The sequence below is a fragment of the Homo sapiens genome, chromosome 3 (genome assembly GCF_000001405.40).
Source record: "Homo sapiens chromosome 3, GRCh38.p14 Primary Assembly".
Taxonomy (NCBI): Eukaryota; Metazoa; Chordata; class Mammalia; order Primates; family Hominidae; genus Homo; species Homo sapiens.
In genome coordinates this window covers 58,867,537-58,884,769 of record NC_000003.12, presented here as the reverse complement: position 1 = coordinate 58,884,769, position 17,233 = coordinate 58,867,537, and the positions used below count along the sequence as shown (strand labels likewise).

Genomic DNA, 17,233 nt, shown 5'->3' with positions numbered 1-17,233 from the left:
TAGGTCCATTTGGCAGAAATGGCTTACATTTTGAAAATGAATGTTTGTCTTTATTTCCAGCTGTCTATGGTGTTCCCTTTTCAACAGATGAGCCTACAGATATTATACCACGAAGCTGTCAACTAATGACAGATGTTCCACATGTCACACAGCTGCTAAACATGACTAAACTTCGCCAAACTGAAATAAAATTCGGAGGCCATCCTCTAAGATCAGCAGAATCAGGTAGACACTCAGGCACCTAAATTATAAGTGTAATATGTCTGCATCTCTCCCATAAAGTGTGACTTCCTCCAAAAAGGGCACTGTACCTCATTCTTCTATATCCTTCGCACTTAACAGAGTATACTTGCCACATACCACGCCAGGGGCTACAAACTCAGATTACTAACAAGGCCAGGAGGATAACATAAATGAATAAAGTGGGCCGGTTGCCTGAGTATTTGACACATAGAAATATTTTCAACTTCAGCAGTGAGAGAAATGGTTATGGTATTACGGGAAACAGTAACTTTAACCACTGTGCAAATAGTACATTAAATTGCAGTTAACACTTAGCCCCTGTGAGGGAGTTGTAGGGAGTAGTGGGGACTGAAGCCAACTGGAAGCTCCCTCAGTCTAGAAGGGAGAGCCACAATTCAGTTCTAGCCAGTGTTGCCTTTCAAAAAGGCAGGCCCAGTCTCACCAGATCTCCCATTTTTTTTCAAGAGGAGCTGGATACGTGAATGTTTATGATAAATCTCCCAATTTTAAAACATTGTCTGAAATTTTTTTTAAACACTCCATGGGCCAAACAAAACATGTCAGGGCTGCCAGTGTTCTACCTCTGTGATAGACACCAGAGCTGTTGACCAAATTAATGAGTAGTACTTACAAATGAAGAAATTTAATATTGTCTAGATGAGTGGTTCTCAACTACCTATATGTTAGAATCACCTCCTTACAGGTTAGAGACATTTTTAATGTCAAAAATTTTTTTTCTGATGTCTATGCCCCAGGGATTCTGATTTAATTGGTCTAGGATGGACCACTGGATCACTTATCCCATAGAAGTCATGTCGTTCAGGTGACACTCACAAACACTGAAGTATTTGAATGAAAGGTAAAATGATGATGGTAATCACAGGACATGTATGGAGGAAGAAGTAGATCTTGAAAGTATCCAACCTATACTTATATAAATAAGTACTTATAATAAATAAATAGATGTGAGGTTGTTGGAAGTGTAAGATGGAGCAGAAGACTGAGCAAAAACAAAGAGACAGCAAAATGGGTAGATAAGTTTACTGAGGGATTAATAAGAAGGGCCTTAGTATAAGCAGAGTGACTGTGTTAGAAGAATACAAGAGAAATGGGCTTCAGTATCCTAAGGTAGAGAAATGATAACTTCTGTTTTAGGAAGTTGAATTTAACAGCAGGATTCAAGGTGAATTTTGAAATCAAGTGATAGCAGAGATTAAGGAGCACAACTAAGATGTCTCTGCAGCAATCCAGGCTTAAAATGGCAAAGGCCCAGACTCACAGTAGCTTTGAAAGTGGAAAGCAATGGCCCTGAGAGCAATTGCCAGGAAAACTGGCAAGACTCAGTGATTCTCAGGTAATAGATGGGGATGAGAGAGTGGTCAAAGTTTGAAGGAGGTCAAGGAGAAACAAGAGATAACCATGATATGAAAATTTCAAAAGTGAACTCATTTTATTCTCTATACTTATTCCATGTTCATTTATTCTTGGGATATTTTCTATATGTCAATCTTCATCATATTGCATGTCCTAAATTGTATATTCCCAGAGAACTGGGACCTATTTGGTAACCTTTTCAGTATAAATCCTGCAGATGACTATGTATAAATAAGCAGTACATTATTTAGTCCTTTATTATGACATTTCCAAACTTACAGAAAATTCGAGAGAATGTATGATGAACAACCCCTGTGTACCCAATCACCTGCTTCCACAGTTACCAACTTTAGGTAGGACTTTTTGATAGCAATGCAGGCACACACAATGGGAATTTGTATGCTTACTATATATACTATATTTAGACAGAGAGAGACTGTATACAATCCATGGTCATTAAAGAGCCTTGAGAAAATAAATACATAAAAGGATTAAAAAGATCTGACTACCCAGACAGCTACTGTAAACACTTTGGGTCACAATTCAATCTGAATGGAAGATGTACCACAGAATAAAATAAGAGTGTGTTCTATAACAAATGCTATATCTGTATCTAATATGCTATGATAACTTTCAATAACGAATGCTAAACTATAAAGCATATCAGATAATTGTTTGCCATTGTAAATGCTTTTATTCTCTAGCTTAATGTTTTAAGAATTAATTATGTCTTTAAATGAAAGTGCAAGTCTATATCCCGATATTTTAAGTGTCTTTTTCAATTTAAATTTGAAGGACACTTATAATGTGTGAAATTAAATGGGAATTTGGATAAATATTAATTGCATCACTAACTCAATGTTATAATTAAACACAAACTTTTTCATGGGCCATATTTGAACCCAACTCATAAAAGAGGATATTAATATATATTTTGCAATTTCCATAAAAGGGCTCTCAATGCATAGTAGTGAACTTGAGTCATATATACAGAAATGAATAATTGTCATCTAATAGCATATTTCTTCTGCTCTGTGAATCCCAATTATATTCGTTTGTAACCATAGGGTTTATGATTGCACTTCTTAAATAAATCTCATTGCACATGTATGCCAGCTAAGATTACACAAACATAAATTGCACTTTGTGGTTCTCTTTCTGTAAATACTTTTCAATTGCTGATTTTGACATTTGTGAGCTTTGAAGCTTACTATCAGTGAATATTGTAATAATTATTGTTCTTTGTGTAAGCCATTTGAAAGGTGTAGCTAATGAATAATGCCCAAGGACAGGCTTTTTAATCATGGGAAAGCCAAGAGATATTTCTTCATTTGAACTACTTGTTTTTGTGTCTTTCTAAAAAGTAGACTCCCCACAGTGAGATTTGAATTGCATGAGAAAATGTGTTCTCTTTAATTAACTATGGGCTACTCATGTAAATTGTGATATTTTATTATGAATGCACATATTGAGAGATCCCAGTGAAACCTCTGGAGAAAGAAGTAGCTGTTTTCTGTGGGTGCTTTCTAGTGTTTTCACACAAGCTGAAAAGGAAACCTTAAAACTTGTAACTATTTTGGAGTGCATTTTGTTGAATAGCATATAACTTGATCAAGAGCTTTTAATGAAACTAATAAAATAATTGTGTTTCCAAAAACCACACATTCACACTCTTCACTTTGTCAATTCCCAGTGCACATTAACTAATAACTATTGTAGAAGACTGTGGAATCTGATGATCTTATTTTCATTAATGGGACCCCGGTTTAAATGAACCAGAGAATCAGATCTGGTTATTGAAGTTGAGCATTCAGCTACTAGTGACAAGATGCAGTGGTCCACTAAGCACAAATCAAAACTAGTAACTTACTTAAAAATTACAAGGCAGTTTTCCCAAGTGCCCTCCTGTCCACAGCAGCCATCTTATTGGATTTTTACTCCTTTTTAAATGAGAAGAGACTGACATCCCTAGCTCCTAGCACAATTGCAAATGGGTAAATTAATGCATCGAGCAAAAAAACATGAAATAATCATCTAACTATTTTTGGCAATGGTGAAATCCTTACTAAAAATTCTTCTTTTGGTTCCACAATATGAAAGTAAGATTCAAATTTTTAAAAATCTGCTGTGAAGTAGGAGAACTTAAAAGGAGAAGGAGTTAGATTCTGACTTCAAAATAAATCAAGACACTCTTTAATTTCTTCTTTTCTAAACTCAGACTTTTTCTTAGCCTTGTCTTAGGATTGTTGGTTAAAGATATCTCACAATCTTTAGTTCCAATGTGTGAAAATTCACAATAAACTCAGTCATCTCTTACGTTTGAATCATATATCCTTTTTCCCTATCTTCAATAAAAGTGAAACATAACTAGTCACATTCTTTTGTCAAAAAAATTTTAAGTGTGAAATAATATCTGTTGAATATGGATCTTGTTGATCAATATCTGTGGAATCTGTTACAACAAAGATGACACAAACCATTTATAGAGTGAATTTTAATTTTTCTGTAAAATTTCTGCCAAATATTGAAAAAACTTTAATAATATAAAACATAATATTAAATATTAAATTCATTTAATCAGTTTGACAATTGTGTTACTTTTGCAGGATTGACTCATACCTATTTTTACATTTCTCCTTTAGATATTTATGACTACATTGCTTGTAATAACAAAAATCCAGAGACAAACTACTTGTGTACAGTAGGGAATTGACTCAATAACCACACAATAAGATATCATGCAGCTATACGAAGAATGACCTGCTCTGCCTGTGATGGCCTGGAAAGGTCTCAAAGCTGTGTCAGTCAGTGAAAAATAGAAACCAAGAATGTTGTTTCAGTATGATCTCATTGATAGAAATAAAAAAGATAGTTACCTACATATGATATATGCATAAAATTTTTAAGGAAACACAGGAAACTTGATAATTACCTTTGAAAACAGGGACTAGTAGAGACAGGGGCAGTGAGAAAAGACTTTTACTTCTAGTATCATATCCTTCTCTATTACAGAATTTTAATTTTCCAACTATATTCATGATTGATGTCAATGATTGTATGATGTCAGAGTAATTATGGGACATTTCTAGTTTCTTCTTTATACTCTTCTGTATTTTGAAAAATTCTAAGACTTGCTATAAAATTAAAATATATTTTTCTGTTTAATATCAATATTTTTAATTAAAATATATAATAAGAAGGAAATCGAGAATTATTAACAAAGAAAGTCTATGTATAGTTAAATATTAAACAACTTTTTAGTTTATGGTTTAATAGGGAAATACATAATATACGGTTATCTACACTATATGAGTATGAATTTTGAGATATTTTAGTTGAACTGTGAATTTTCAGATACTTTTTCACTACTGGTGAACTCGGGGCTCTAATAATCAATGCCCTCCACCAACCCCCAAGACACTCTTTCTGTCACATCACTCAGTTTTTACTTTCAGCACAGCATTTATCACTACCTGATATTTTCTTATTTACTTGATTGCTTCCTTGTTGCTGTCTCCCCCACTAAAATGTAAGCCTGAGAACTGCAGGGTCCTATTTATTGTTGTATTCCTAGCACCTAACTCAATGCTTAGTACTTACCAGGAGCTCAGTAAATATTTGTTGATTGAGTGATTAAATGAATGAATGATAGCCAAATAATTTGAGCAGATTAGGGTATTTAGCAATAAATCATCATCATCATCCGAACTACCATTTAGTAGTTGTTATTGCGTTCTAAGCACTGAACCCTTTACATAGTCTATACATTTAATCCTCTTTCACACCCTTTTATGTAGATACCATCATAATCACCCTTTTTATGATTGACACATAATAATTGTACAAATTTATGGGGTACAACATGATATTTCAATGCATGTACACACTGTGTAATGATCAAATCAGAGAAGTTAACATATCCATCATCTTAAGCATTTATTGTTTCTTGGTGATGAGAACATCCAAAACCTTTCTTCTAGCTGTTTTGAAATATACAATAGATTATTGTTAACTCTACTCAGTAATCACTATTTTGTAGATGAGGGAACTGAGGCTTGCAGAGATCAAATAGTGAGCATTGGGCCTAGGATTTGACCAGGCAGGCTGGTTTCAGAGGTGCATTCTTTTGTTTTTTTTTTTTTTCGGAGACGAAGTCTCGCTCTGTTGCCCAGGCTGGAGTGCAGTGGCACAATCTTGGCTCGCTGCAAGCTCCGCCTCCCGGGTTCACGCCGTTCTCCCGCCTCAGCCTCCTGAGTAGCTGGGACTACAGGTGCCCACCACCACGCCCGGCTAATTTTTTGTATTTTTAGTAGAGATGGAGTTTCACCATTCACAGGATGGTCTCGATCTCCTGACCTTGTGATCCGCCCCCCTCAGCCTCCCAAAGTGATGGGATTACAGGCGTGAGCCACCCCGCCCAGCACAGAGGTGCATTCTTAATTACTGACTCCCTTTAAGCAATTTCTCATGACCGTAATAGTTTTAAGCATCATCTTCCTGGGAAGCTTTCTTCTCTTCTTCTCTTGCCTTATTTCCAAGCCCAAATGATGGAAATTATCTACCACGGCTTGTAAATAAGCTGTGCTAGTGATTCAAAATGGAAAGTTTTCTTGAAATGATAAACTTGTTTCCCTAAAAAAAAGTTTCTTTGCTCATTAAGAGTAAAGAAAAAAAGTAGGCTAATTCTGACTTTTTAATAAATTAAGGGTTTATGAAGAAAAGCAATATCCTGTGCTTTATTACTTTTTATCTTGTCTAAATATCCTAACTTTACCCACAAAATGATATGTATACATTGTCTAAGGTCCTACTCCAGTTCAGAGGAGAAAGAGATCTAATTTTAGTTTTTAATATTATTTTATTGCCTTTCAAAAAGTGTCTTAAACTTTTTATTAATGAGGTAAGGCTACGTTCTGGTTTTAATTATTTGCAAAAGTTGAAGACATTTTAATTGCCTAGGGCCCTTCCTGCTTTAGTCATTTGCCTATTTGCTTTTCTTTTCGTTGTGTTTTCTGGGTTTACAGACTGACAGTCCTCCAACAGGTCTAAGAAAGTTTTTAATTAAAATAGTTTACATTGGGCTTGCACTCTCAAATTAGCCACAGTTCCCCTACATTCTGCATGTGCCTGCTTGCCACGTATGTGTTACCTGCCTGGCACTGAAGCCACTTCAATTTGCCCTGCTCCCTTTTCCATGCCCTCCCCAGTCCCCACAGCACTATTTTTTTTCCATCTGAAAATGGATATTATGGTATTATGTTCTGTGTTGGATTCCTCATAAACCCCATTAGTCCTCATCACATGCACTTAATTATCATATTCGTGCAGTTTCAATACTTATCTATACAATCATTAATAAACCCAGTTTTTCAGGTAGCAAAACAAAAATTTTTAGTTAAGTAGCTTTACAAAATTGCATAGGAAGTAAGTGGAAGAATTGGAAAATATGGGAAGAACCTGCTTCAATGTCCTCCTGATCCACAGAGGGCATCATCATATGTAATTTAAAACACACACACACACAAAGAGGCATTGGGGTGCTTGGCTTCTGAGCCCCCGCTCAGAGCATGGACAGATCTCTAAACATTGCAAGCCTCAGTTTCTTCTTCTGCAGTCATGAAATCATAACACCACACAGGTGATTGGAAATTGCAGAAAGATTGAGCATGTATCCTGATATCCATCATCCTTTAAGTCTCAAGTTGAACATTATTTCTCTGACCCCAAAGACTAGATATGAAGCTCCTGTTAAACACACTTAGAACCTTTCAGACTGTTCCTTCATAGCTCTTATCACAGCTATAATCATGTAGTTATTTATAAATTATTTGCTTTAACATCTGTCTGCCCGTCAGACTGTGAGCTCTTTGAAGGAGGTGGCTGTGTCCACCTTACTCCCTGTCTTACACAGTACTAGAGCAATACATGCCCGACTAAATGCCTGGTCACTGCTCAAAGTGTGGATGAAGGAAGGAATAAATGACTGTGAACAGACTTACTAAACTGTTAAATACTATTCACGGTGGAAGGTGTTAATAGCATATTTACTAGGTATTAATAGCATTACTCCCTACTGGGCACAGTGTTTAACATGTTACATGCATTGTTTCATGTGCTCTAACAAAAATGCCATGACTTCAGTACTACGATTATCCCAGTCTTACGGATGAAGAGGTGAGGCTTAGAAAGGTTAAGTACCTTTTCTAAAATAATACTGCTGTACAAGATCAGCCTTTTTTGTATTTGTTACATTCTTAATAGCAATGCACATATACTACAATGAAAAGTAATCCAAGTTTGGACTTTTGGTACCAGCTTTAATTCTAATTTGATTGTTAGATAATAGATGTAAGTCTTGAGCATGACCCCTCAGTGATTAGATATGAAAATTCAACAGGTTTTTCTGGTTAAGCTTTGAAAACCGTGCAAATTTAAATGACTATAATAATTAGAACATTGTATCTTGAGACAAAAATGAATGTTTATTTTTCTAAAAGACAATTAGAGAGTAGACCCTCAGGTTTTACAATCTAACTACAAAGGCATGTACCCCTCAGTAAAATAGGAAAATAATTAGTGGTAACATCTCTGACCTACACCAAGTTCATTTTCCACAAACTCAAGGAAATGAAATGCCTAGAACATGACTTTAATCTAATCTTGATTTTTAACCTTATATTATGCATATTGATATCAGCTCTTAAAAGAGCTCCTTTTAGAATTCAAAAGCATGCATTTCTGCTTGTAGTTTTCTTTTATTAAGATTTTTCTCATTATGGAAACTTTGTCTCATCTACTTTTTATTTTAGAAACCAAAGTTCTAAATTACTTTTCTTAGTAGGTGTTAATTAGGACCCGATTATGGTAGATGCATAGCACAATACGTGTTTATAGAGATAATTGTGACAATTAATATGATTATACACAGATTTTTTAAAGTGAAGCAGGACTTAAGAATTGGTGTGTTCATTATAATAACAAGTTTAACGAGGTCTATTAAAGAGATACTAAATAGTGGAATATTGGTATACTTTGCTTTGTGAAAAATAAAGTGTACCAAATGTGCAAAATTTTTAAAAATAAACATTAATTTAAATATACTGTGGTAGATTACTCTTTAAATAAATTCTATAGTAGATAGGATTATGAAATATAGAATGTCTGTTTTCTGTGATTTGGGAATAATAGCATATCGGGTGTGGGTGTATCTTTAATAGACACTGGGTGTCCACTACTAAGCAAGAGATTCCTCTAAGAAATTTGAAGTATTTAGTTTTAATTTTGTTAATAACTATGAACTGGTTAATATGTTCATTTTGTCAAATTTTAGTTGGAACTGTGTATGATTTCTAAAATACTCCCTCCCCACAAAAGTTCTTTTTAATTTTTAATTTTCCATAATTTGGTGAGATTTATCCATTATCTACAATAGGCTAAGCTGGGCTCAGCTGATGGAGGTACCTACTGTGCCAAATTAATGGTCTTTCTACAAAAGAACTTACATCGATTGAGGGGAAACTTCCTTATAGAGAAAGAATATGAAAAAACATCAGGAAATTGTTCTTGTAAAATATTTGAACAGAAAAATGGCCCTTAGCTGAACATTGAGCTCCCAGGATTGGAAGAGGGAAGAAAGGCCACGTGCTGGTACAGAAATCCCTCCCAGGCCCACACCATGTCCCACAGAGCCCTTCATTACTCTCCGCACCCATTTTTCTCTGAAAAAATCAACATTTGAGAACCAAATGAATAGTCTAGAATTTGTTCTACTTAGTCACAAAAGGCACAAATATTGACTATAATAGATTTTTCCAATTGCTCTGGAATGTGAATGTCATTTCTTCCTATTGTCAATCGTGAGAGACTGTTTTGTTGACTCCAGTTGAATATAAATAGCTGGTAAAAAAAAATACATATGCACACATAACCAAGTCTATTTGGTGACACTAGGAAATTTCATGTGTAATCCAAATAGCATCTGACTGCAGTGCCATAGCACTGCTACTGTTGAGAGCATCATCATTTATGAGAACATCAACGTTTTGTTCATTGTTATCCCTTCTCTCTCATCCCTCACGTCCTGGAGTTGCCCAGACCTGCCTAGTCTTCCTTTTTGATTCACACATAGAACTCCCAGGTAGATTTCTCTTAAAATGAACTTCAAACCATAGTTAGACATTTTTGAGTCATTTAATCCAACTTCCCTTCTGACTCATTTCATTTAATGAATCATTCATTTTGCTCAGCAAGGAACTATTATGTGCCTATTCTGTGTCAAGCACTGGGCTAGGTGCTGGCAGTTCAGGGTGACAGAAGCAGGCCACTGAGTTTATGTCTACTGAAGCACACATTAATTAGAGAATCCCATGGACATGTGTAAAAGTTCAATTCTGACAAGTTCTATGAGGGAAAATTTATGGAAGAGCCTATATTGGAGGAACTTACCCTAATCAGAAAGGTCTGCAAAGACTTGTCTGAGGAAATGATATGTGAACTGAGGCATAAAGGTCAAGAGGGAAAGGAAAAGCCTTCTTGCCATGAACAGCATACACAAACACTCTAGTAGGCAGGAAGAACTGAGAAGGCCCGTCTACCGAGAGGGCAGAAAACGAGAGGTGTAAGATACTCAGACATGTCAGAACATGCAGGGTTTTGCGGGCAATGTTAAGAGCCTTCATCTTACTCCTGAGAGCAGCAGAGAAGCCACTGAAGAACTTTAAGTGAAGGAAAGGAAATGACTCAATTAGATTTATGTTTGTATAAAACCTCTCTGGCTGCATTTTGGAGGAGGGATGGCATGGGGCACCAGCGTGGACACAGTAAGTCACACAGTAAGGCTTTGTCATCATCCAGGAGGAAGAGGATGTCAGTGCTGGTGGAGGAGATGGAAGGAAGTGGACATGGATGGGATATGGAGAGATCAGGGGAAGGTGTCAAGCATGACACCTAGATTCTGACTTTTCAAACCAGATGGATTGTGGTCCCATTCATTAGACCAGGTTTCCAGTTTGAAGTGCCTTTCAGACACTGAAGAGGAGCTGGTAAAGAGGCTACTGGATATAAGGAGTGGAGCTCAGAAGAGAGGACAAGGCTAAGAGATATAAATTAAGGAGTCACCTGATGTCTGAATCTGCCTTACGGCATCCAGAATAGCTATCCAGACTTCTGCTTCAACACCTGCCTTACAGCATCCAGAACAGCTATCCAGACTTCTGCTTGAACACCTGCCTGACAACATCTAGAACAGCTATCCAGACTTCTGCTTCAACACCTGCCTGACAACATCTAGAACAGCTATCCAGACTTCTGCTTCAACACCTGCCTGACAGCATCCAGAACAGCTATCCAGACTTCAGCTTGAACGCCTGCCTGACAACATCTAGAACAGCTATCCAGACTTCTGCTTCAACACCTGCCTAACTGCATCCAGAATAGCTATCCAGACTTCTACTTGAGCACCTGCCTGACAGCATCCAGCATAACTATCCAGACTTCTGCTTGAACACCTGCCTGACAACATCCAGAATAGCTATCCAGACTTCTGCTTGAACACCTGCCTGACAGCATCCACCATAGCTATCCAGACTTCTGCTTGAGCACCCGCCTTATACCATCCAGCATAGCTGATCCAGACTTCTGCTTGAACACCTGCCTGACAGCATCCAGCATAGCTGGTCCAGACTTCTGCTTGAGCACCTGCCTTACAGCATCCAGAATGGCTATCCAGACTTCTGCTTGAGCACCTGCCTGACAGCATCCAGAATAGCTATCCGGAATTCTGCTTGAACAGCTGCCTTACAGCATCCAGCATAGCTATCCAGACTTCTGCTTGAGCACCTGCCTTACAGCATCCAGCACAGCTATCCAGACTTCTGCTTGAGCACTTGCCTTACAGCATCCAGAATAGCTATCCAGACTTCTGCTTGAGCACCCGCCTTACAGCATCCAGAATGGCTATCCAGACTTCTGCTTGAACATCTGCCTTACAGCATCCAGAATAGCTATCCAGACTTCTGCTTGAGCACCTGCCTTACAGCATCCAGAATAGCTATGCAGACTTCTGCTTGAGCACCCGCCTTACAGCATCCAGAATGGCTATCCAGACTTCTGCTTGAGCACCCGCCTTACAGCATCCAGCACAGCTATCCAGACTTCTGCTTGAGGACCTGCCTGACAGCATCCAGAATAGCTATCCAGACTTCTGCCTGAGGACCTGCCTGACAGTATCCAGAATAGGAATCCGGAATTCTGCTTGAACAGCTGCCTTACAGCATCCAGCATAGCTATCCAGACTTCTGCTTGAGCACCTGCCTTACAGCATCCAGCATAGCTCTCCAGACTTCTGCTCAAATGCCTTCAAAATGACAAAAAATTTATCACCTCAACAGCCAGACATATTTAGAGAAAGATAACCCTTGTGTTGGACTAAAAGCTTCCTGAAGTAAATTCTTCTCATTAGTTCTGATTCTGCCCTTTAGACAAATGGAATTTCTCTCCTACCTAATAGGGCTTCCAGAATTTCAAGAAAAATGACATGGTTTTTACCTCCTCACGACTTCAACATCTACCTCATGTCTCCTGTTCAGCAAAAATTCTTTCAGTTCACTTCAGCAATCTAGCCCTTGCCTTTATCTTCAGATTTATCTATTACAAACACAAAAACAGACCCAAAACACACCCATACATACACACACTACTTCCACTCAGACCTAAATATCTGGATCTTGCTGAGTATGGTATATTTTCACAAACCCATGTGTCTTTTTTTTTTTAAGACTGATGCATAGGAGTGGTTTTTAATCCCCCTACATGTAAAATTATAGCTCTACAGCAGAGGCTAATGAGACCAACTAGCTAGCTAGAGGAATTTTTGCAGGGAGTAGGTCAGGCAGGAAGTGGCCAGTAGCTTATATATGTCCAGGACTGGTGGGCAAATGTGGACTTACTTGGGACCATCATTGTAATGTTTAAGTTGGTCCTGTCTTACAGGTGGGTCACAGCAGAAGGCTTTCTAGGTAATGGGCAGTGTTTTCAGTTAAAGGCTATCACCCTCACCTGCCCTGTTAGTCAGAGGAGGCTAATTGCAGTCACAAAGAACCCCTCAGTTGTAGTCCAATCAGGAGTTCCTTGGGAAGCCTTTTATGTCGTCATTCAGGGACCTGCATCTAGTGGCTTCCCTGGAGCCCTGAAAGTCCTCCACAAGATCTTCTGCATCTAGTCAGGAGGCGAGGGAATAGAGAGCATGGGGGATTCTGCTGGGAGTTTTGGGGGCCAGGAAATGGCTGAAACTTCTCACAGTTCATTAGCCAGAATTCAATCCTATGGGGCCAGGTGCGGTGGCTCACACCCATAATCCCAACACTTTGGGAAGCTGAGTCAGGTGGATCACTTGAGGTCAGGAGTTCGAGACCAGCCTGGCCGACAGGGTGAAACCCCATCCTACTAAAAATACAAAACTTAGCTGGGCATGGTGGCGTGTACCTCTAGTCCCAGCTACTCAGGGGGCTGAGGCATGAGAATCGCTTGAACCCAGGAGGCGGCGGTTGCAGTGAGCCAAGAACATGCCACTGCACTCCAGCTCGTGTGACAAAAGCAAGACTGTCTCAAAAAAAAAAAAAAAAGAAAAGTCGGAATTCAGTCATGCGGCCCATATAACGACAGGGTATGCTCAGAAATGTAATTTAGCTGTGTGTGCAGAAGGGAAGGCAGCAGGATTTGGTGAGCACACCTGCCCTATCCTGAAGGTGACACTGTTTTGCTCTCTTTCTCTCTAAAACCTTCAGGGATTCCTTGTTGCCTACCAAATTTAGAATAGGCTCTTCACATTTTAAGGCTCTTTTCAGTATGACCCTAGCCTCTCCTTCCAGCTAAACCAGCCACTTCCTGACTCCCAGGTACACCCTGCCCTTCCCTTCTTCCATGCCTTTACTCTGGTACTTTCTTCTGCCTAGGGCATCCTACATCTCTTATTCTTGAAATTGTATCCATCATTCAGGGTCCATGAAGGGGTCACTTATTCTTCATTGCCACTGGCCTGCCTTACATTGGTGACCTGTTTACTGGTCTTATCCGCCTCTCCATTCTCCATTTTGTGTCACTGACGGCCTCTAGGAAATGCCTGAGAGAGTACTCAGTTAAATATTTGTTAGGTTGAGTTGAATAATTATATTTAAATTATTTCCTTAAAGAGAAAATAAGATGTATTTTTTAGTAGCTTTTCCTTTTTTCTTTTTTTTTTTTTTTTTTTTTTTTTTTTTTGAGACGGAGTCTCGCTCTGTCGCCCAGGCCGGACTGCGGACTGCAGTGGCGCAATCTCGGCTCACTGCAAGCTCCGCTTCCCGGGTTCACGCCATTCTCCTGCCTCAGCCTCCCGAGTAGCTGGGACTACAGGCGCCCGCCACCGCGCCTGGCTAATTTTTTGTATTTTTAGTAGAGACGGGGTTTCACCTTGTTAGCCAGGATGGTCTCGATCTCCTGACCTCATGATCCACCCGCCTCGGCCTCCCAAAGTGCTGGGATTACAGGCGTGAGCCACCGCGCCCGGCCCTTTCTTTTTTTTTTTAAAGAAAAACTTTGTGGTGGTGGTTCTCAAATGATGGTGAGTATAAAAATTACTTGGGGGGACTTATTAAAAGTACTGTGATACTGCCGAGATCCTAATTCTATACGTCTTGTATGTATCTCTGATGTTGGGCCCTAGTATCTGTGTTTTTAATACATGCTGAGGGGGGAGGGGGGATTTGGATCCTATGGCACCTGGACTGGATTTTTAGAAAGATTGCAGTGTGATGTTTGTCATTACACCCATTAATGGACTATTATTACCTTCCTTTAACAAAACAGATCAGTTCATTAACAGAGGAACAAGTATTACACGGAACAGTAAAAATCAAGATGTTTGTCATATCGCATTTGGATCCAAAGTTCTTGGGCCACCTCCACTCTCTGGCAGAAGGAATAACATGAAGATATCCAGCGAGGTAGGAGCAAGGTTTGGAGAGCTTATCTAAGCACAAGTGACCTGGTAAGGGAAGAGTGTCTTCCCCTTGTAGAGGGAGGGAGGGAGGGAAAGACAGACAGACAGACAGACAGACAGACACTACATGCCAAAAGCAGAAGGCTTGAATAAATTTGGAACAGAAATTCTGGATTTTAAAAGACTTCAAAAGTGTTTCCTTTTTGTCATATCAACATAATTAACATTTTCGAGTATTCTTTTCATTAAATATGTTCACAAAATTTAAAGGCAAATATAAGTGAGCACATTTTGCTGTCTCTTTCAGAGGAGTTGGATCATAACCAGACACCTTAGGATGAACAGATTCTCAAATGTTAGGTTTTTTATTTTTAATTTCCTCCGAATTTCTGACATACGCGTGATTTTTAATTCGGCTTCTACCTACTGAAGATGGAGTGTAGCAAATAAGCACATTTTAATTTATGTGTCTAGGAGACTTGCATGTCTTCTATTTTATCTCGTTATTTTTCTCCTTCCATTTCTAATTTCCTATAATAATTTCCTTTTTCTTCACATCTTAACCTCATTTCCTCTAGTTTTTTTCTCACTCTTCATTGGTCCAAATATTATGTTTTCTATATAGCTTCTACAGAAAACAAATGTAGTTGCTATATTTTAAAATGTACAGATTAATTCCTTTACAGACAGTGAGATCCGTTGGGTCCAAAAATAACCGATCATGCCAGCCGTCCACTGTAGAGAAGTGTGTTAATGGTACAGAAATGTCAGCCTTGCTGATACCTGAGTCTGAGGAACAAGGAAATAAAGAAAATATTCACCAAATAAAGCAGACTGTACCTATTCATGGTAAGAAATAATCATGCATAAAGATTGATAGCTAGTGAAAATAGTGAGAAATGTTCTTGTTAAGATAAATCAGCAGTTATATTCAAGTCTAGATCTTAAGTCTAGAGAATTGTCATTTAATAATGAAAAGGGTGGTTGATTTTGAAATATATTTGAAATTCTTATATTAGCTTCTGAAATCTATCATTCTGTTTTCTCCATTATTTCAAATTGCTATAATACCCTGTGTTTTATTTTATGGCAACTGATGTAGAAATAAAATAGCATTCCATTATCACTGTATTTTGGAAATGCCATGTGCATTTTAAGTGTTCTTAGCTTAATATTATCTTTTAATTAATCTCTTCCATTTGTAAGGTACTCTTTCTTTTCTCTCACTGATCCAACAACAAAAATAAAATAAACCCTGTAAGTGAAAAAGGATTTTTGTTCCATTTTACAGATAGAGATTTAAAGTCAAGCAAAGAGGTAAAGTGATTTGCAGTTTGTAACCTTTAGAAATAATTTAGACCAGAACCCAAGACTTAGAATTCCCTGTCACTTTTTCTACCCTTACTGATCTGACTTTACTGAGAGTTGAAAAGGGAGGACATTTAAGTTCATTTTATATTATTTACAAATTAATGATCACTGTCACAGAAAATTTCCCTCGTGGAGTATGAAACTGAAATAAGGAAATGGATAGATAGAAATCCAGCCCTAGCTGCCTGTCAGTGAGGCCTTGATCAAGTTTCTTAAACGCTGTGAACCTTAGTTTTCTCCTCTGTAAAATGGGAATGGCATTACTACTGGCACTAATACTAATAATAAATAACAGGTGCCTCAAAGGGTCATTGTGAGGATTCAGGGGAAAAGCCAGTTAAGTGTATCATATTGCACCAAGAAATTAAGCATTCAGGAAATGTTAAATGCTGCTATGATTATTATTATTGCTAAATTAAATCGTACTTAGAAGTTCTTCTTCAGCTTGACCTCAGTTCTCCAGGGCTCTTTTGGAAGCTGCTCTCTATGCTCTTGTTGAAAGTATAGTTATCGACACTTCCTCTTTTAAAGGAAGAAGTAATTTTTCTGTGTTGGCTGTCAGTTTCATTTTGTAATGTTTTTTAATATGCCATGTTGTATGATTAACATTAGTCAAATTACTTTAGCCCTCTATAAGGTTATATTACATGAATAAAGTGTTTCAGTAATTTTGAAAGCCTGATAGGATCCCAATATCGGAATAGGAATAAATGCCTATTTTCTATGAAGTTGTATTTTTGATGTATCTTCACATTATGTCAAAATTATACATGAATATTCTCATTATAGTGATAATTATATTTACTGAGTTACTTCAAGCCATATAGCACTTTCTGTTCTGGCTTTTGTGCTTTGATATGAAAATGTAGCAGCCAATCTACATATTATGCATCCGCATCCCCCTCAAGAACCATCAGCAGATAAGAATAATAACAGAAGAAGATTACGGTTAAAAAGTACCAGCAGAGAAAGGACAGAGACACCCAGCGGTATGGCACTATTTCAATCCTATCTTATATCTGTATATTATTCAGGGCAATCGAATCTCTCTCTGCAGGTTGTAAATTTCAAAGGATTATGAACCAATCCATTTAAAATATAAATGTCTGTTCTACAAGGATTATGGAAATCAAATTTTCTGCAAAAGAATTGCTCTAGATCCCTAATGGAGATTTGCTGGATTAAATAGACAGTACCACAGAAATAAAGGAATTCCTACTTTTACTCTCAAAGACTGAATAAGCTTAAATTATTGTTTTTGAAAAAAAT

At 37.8% G+C, this 17,233-nt stretch overlaps 1 protein-coding gene and 1 long non-coding RNA gene across 31 annotated transcripts in view, besides 1 other annotated feature; one reads left to right on the top strand and one right to left on the bottom strand.

Annotated features, from left to right (window-relative positions):
* CFAP20DC (CFAP20 domain containing) overlaps positions 1–17,233 on the top strand; it is a 333,853-nt gene that overhangs the window by 165,256 nt on the left and 151,364 nt on the right. For 20 of the 30 annotated variants that reach the window (XR_001740051.3, XR_007095648.1, XR_001740054.3 and 17 more), the window contains 4 exons: positions 61–225; positions 14,461–14,597; positions 15,280–15,442; positions 16,834–16,953. Coding sequence is in view for 20 of the 30 variants with exons in the window: in NM_198463.4 (NP_940865.1) it covers positions 61–225; positions 14,461–14,597; positions 15,280–15,442; positions 16,834–16,953 (585 nt within the window). In the remaining 10 variants the exon portion in view is untranslated. Of the gene's footprint in view, positions 1–60; positions 2,424–13,242; positions 13,336–14,197; positions 14,216–14,460; positions 14,609–15,279; positions 15,443–16,833; positions 16,954–17,233 lie in introns of those variants that run through there. The other 10 variants (XR_007095646.1, XM_047447656.1, NM_001351530.2 and 7 more) reach the window with 7 other exon arrangements.
* The window catches only part of CFAP20DC-AS1 (CFAP20DC antisense RNA 1), a 194,623-nt gene that overhangs the window by 134,324 nt on the left and 43,066 nt on the right, over positions 1–17,233 (bottom strand). The window lies entirely within an intron of this gene.
* Positions 9,466–10,665: an enhancer, noted in NCBI's record as "MED14-independent group 3 enhancer chr3:58859831-58861030 (GRCh37/hg19 assembly coordinates)". NCBI's record gives its function as "activates an origin of replication core promoter dependent on BRD2, BRD4, P300/CBP and CDK7 cofactors, and independent of MED14, by STARR-seq in HCT116 cells {active_cell/tissue: HCT116}" and the evidence as "EXISTENCE:reporter gene assay evidence [ECO:0000049][PMID:35650434]".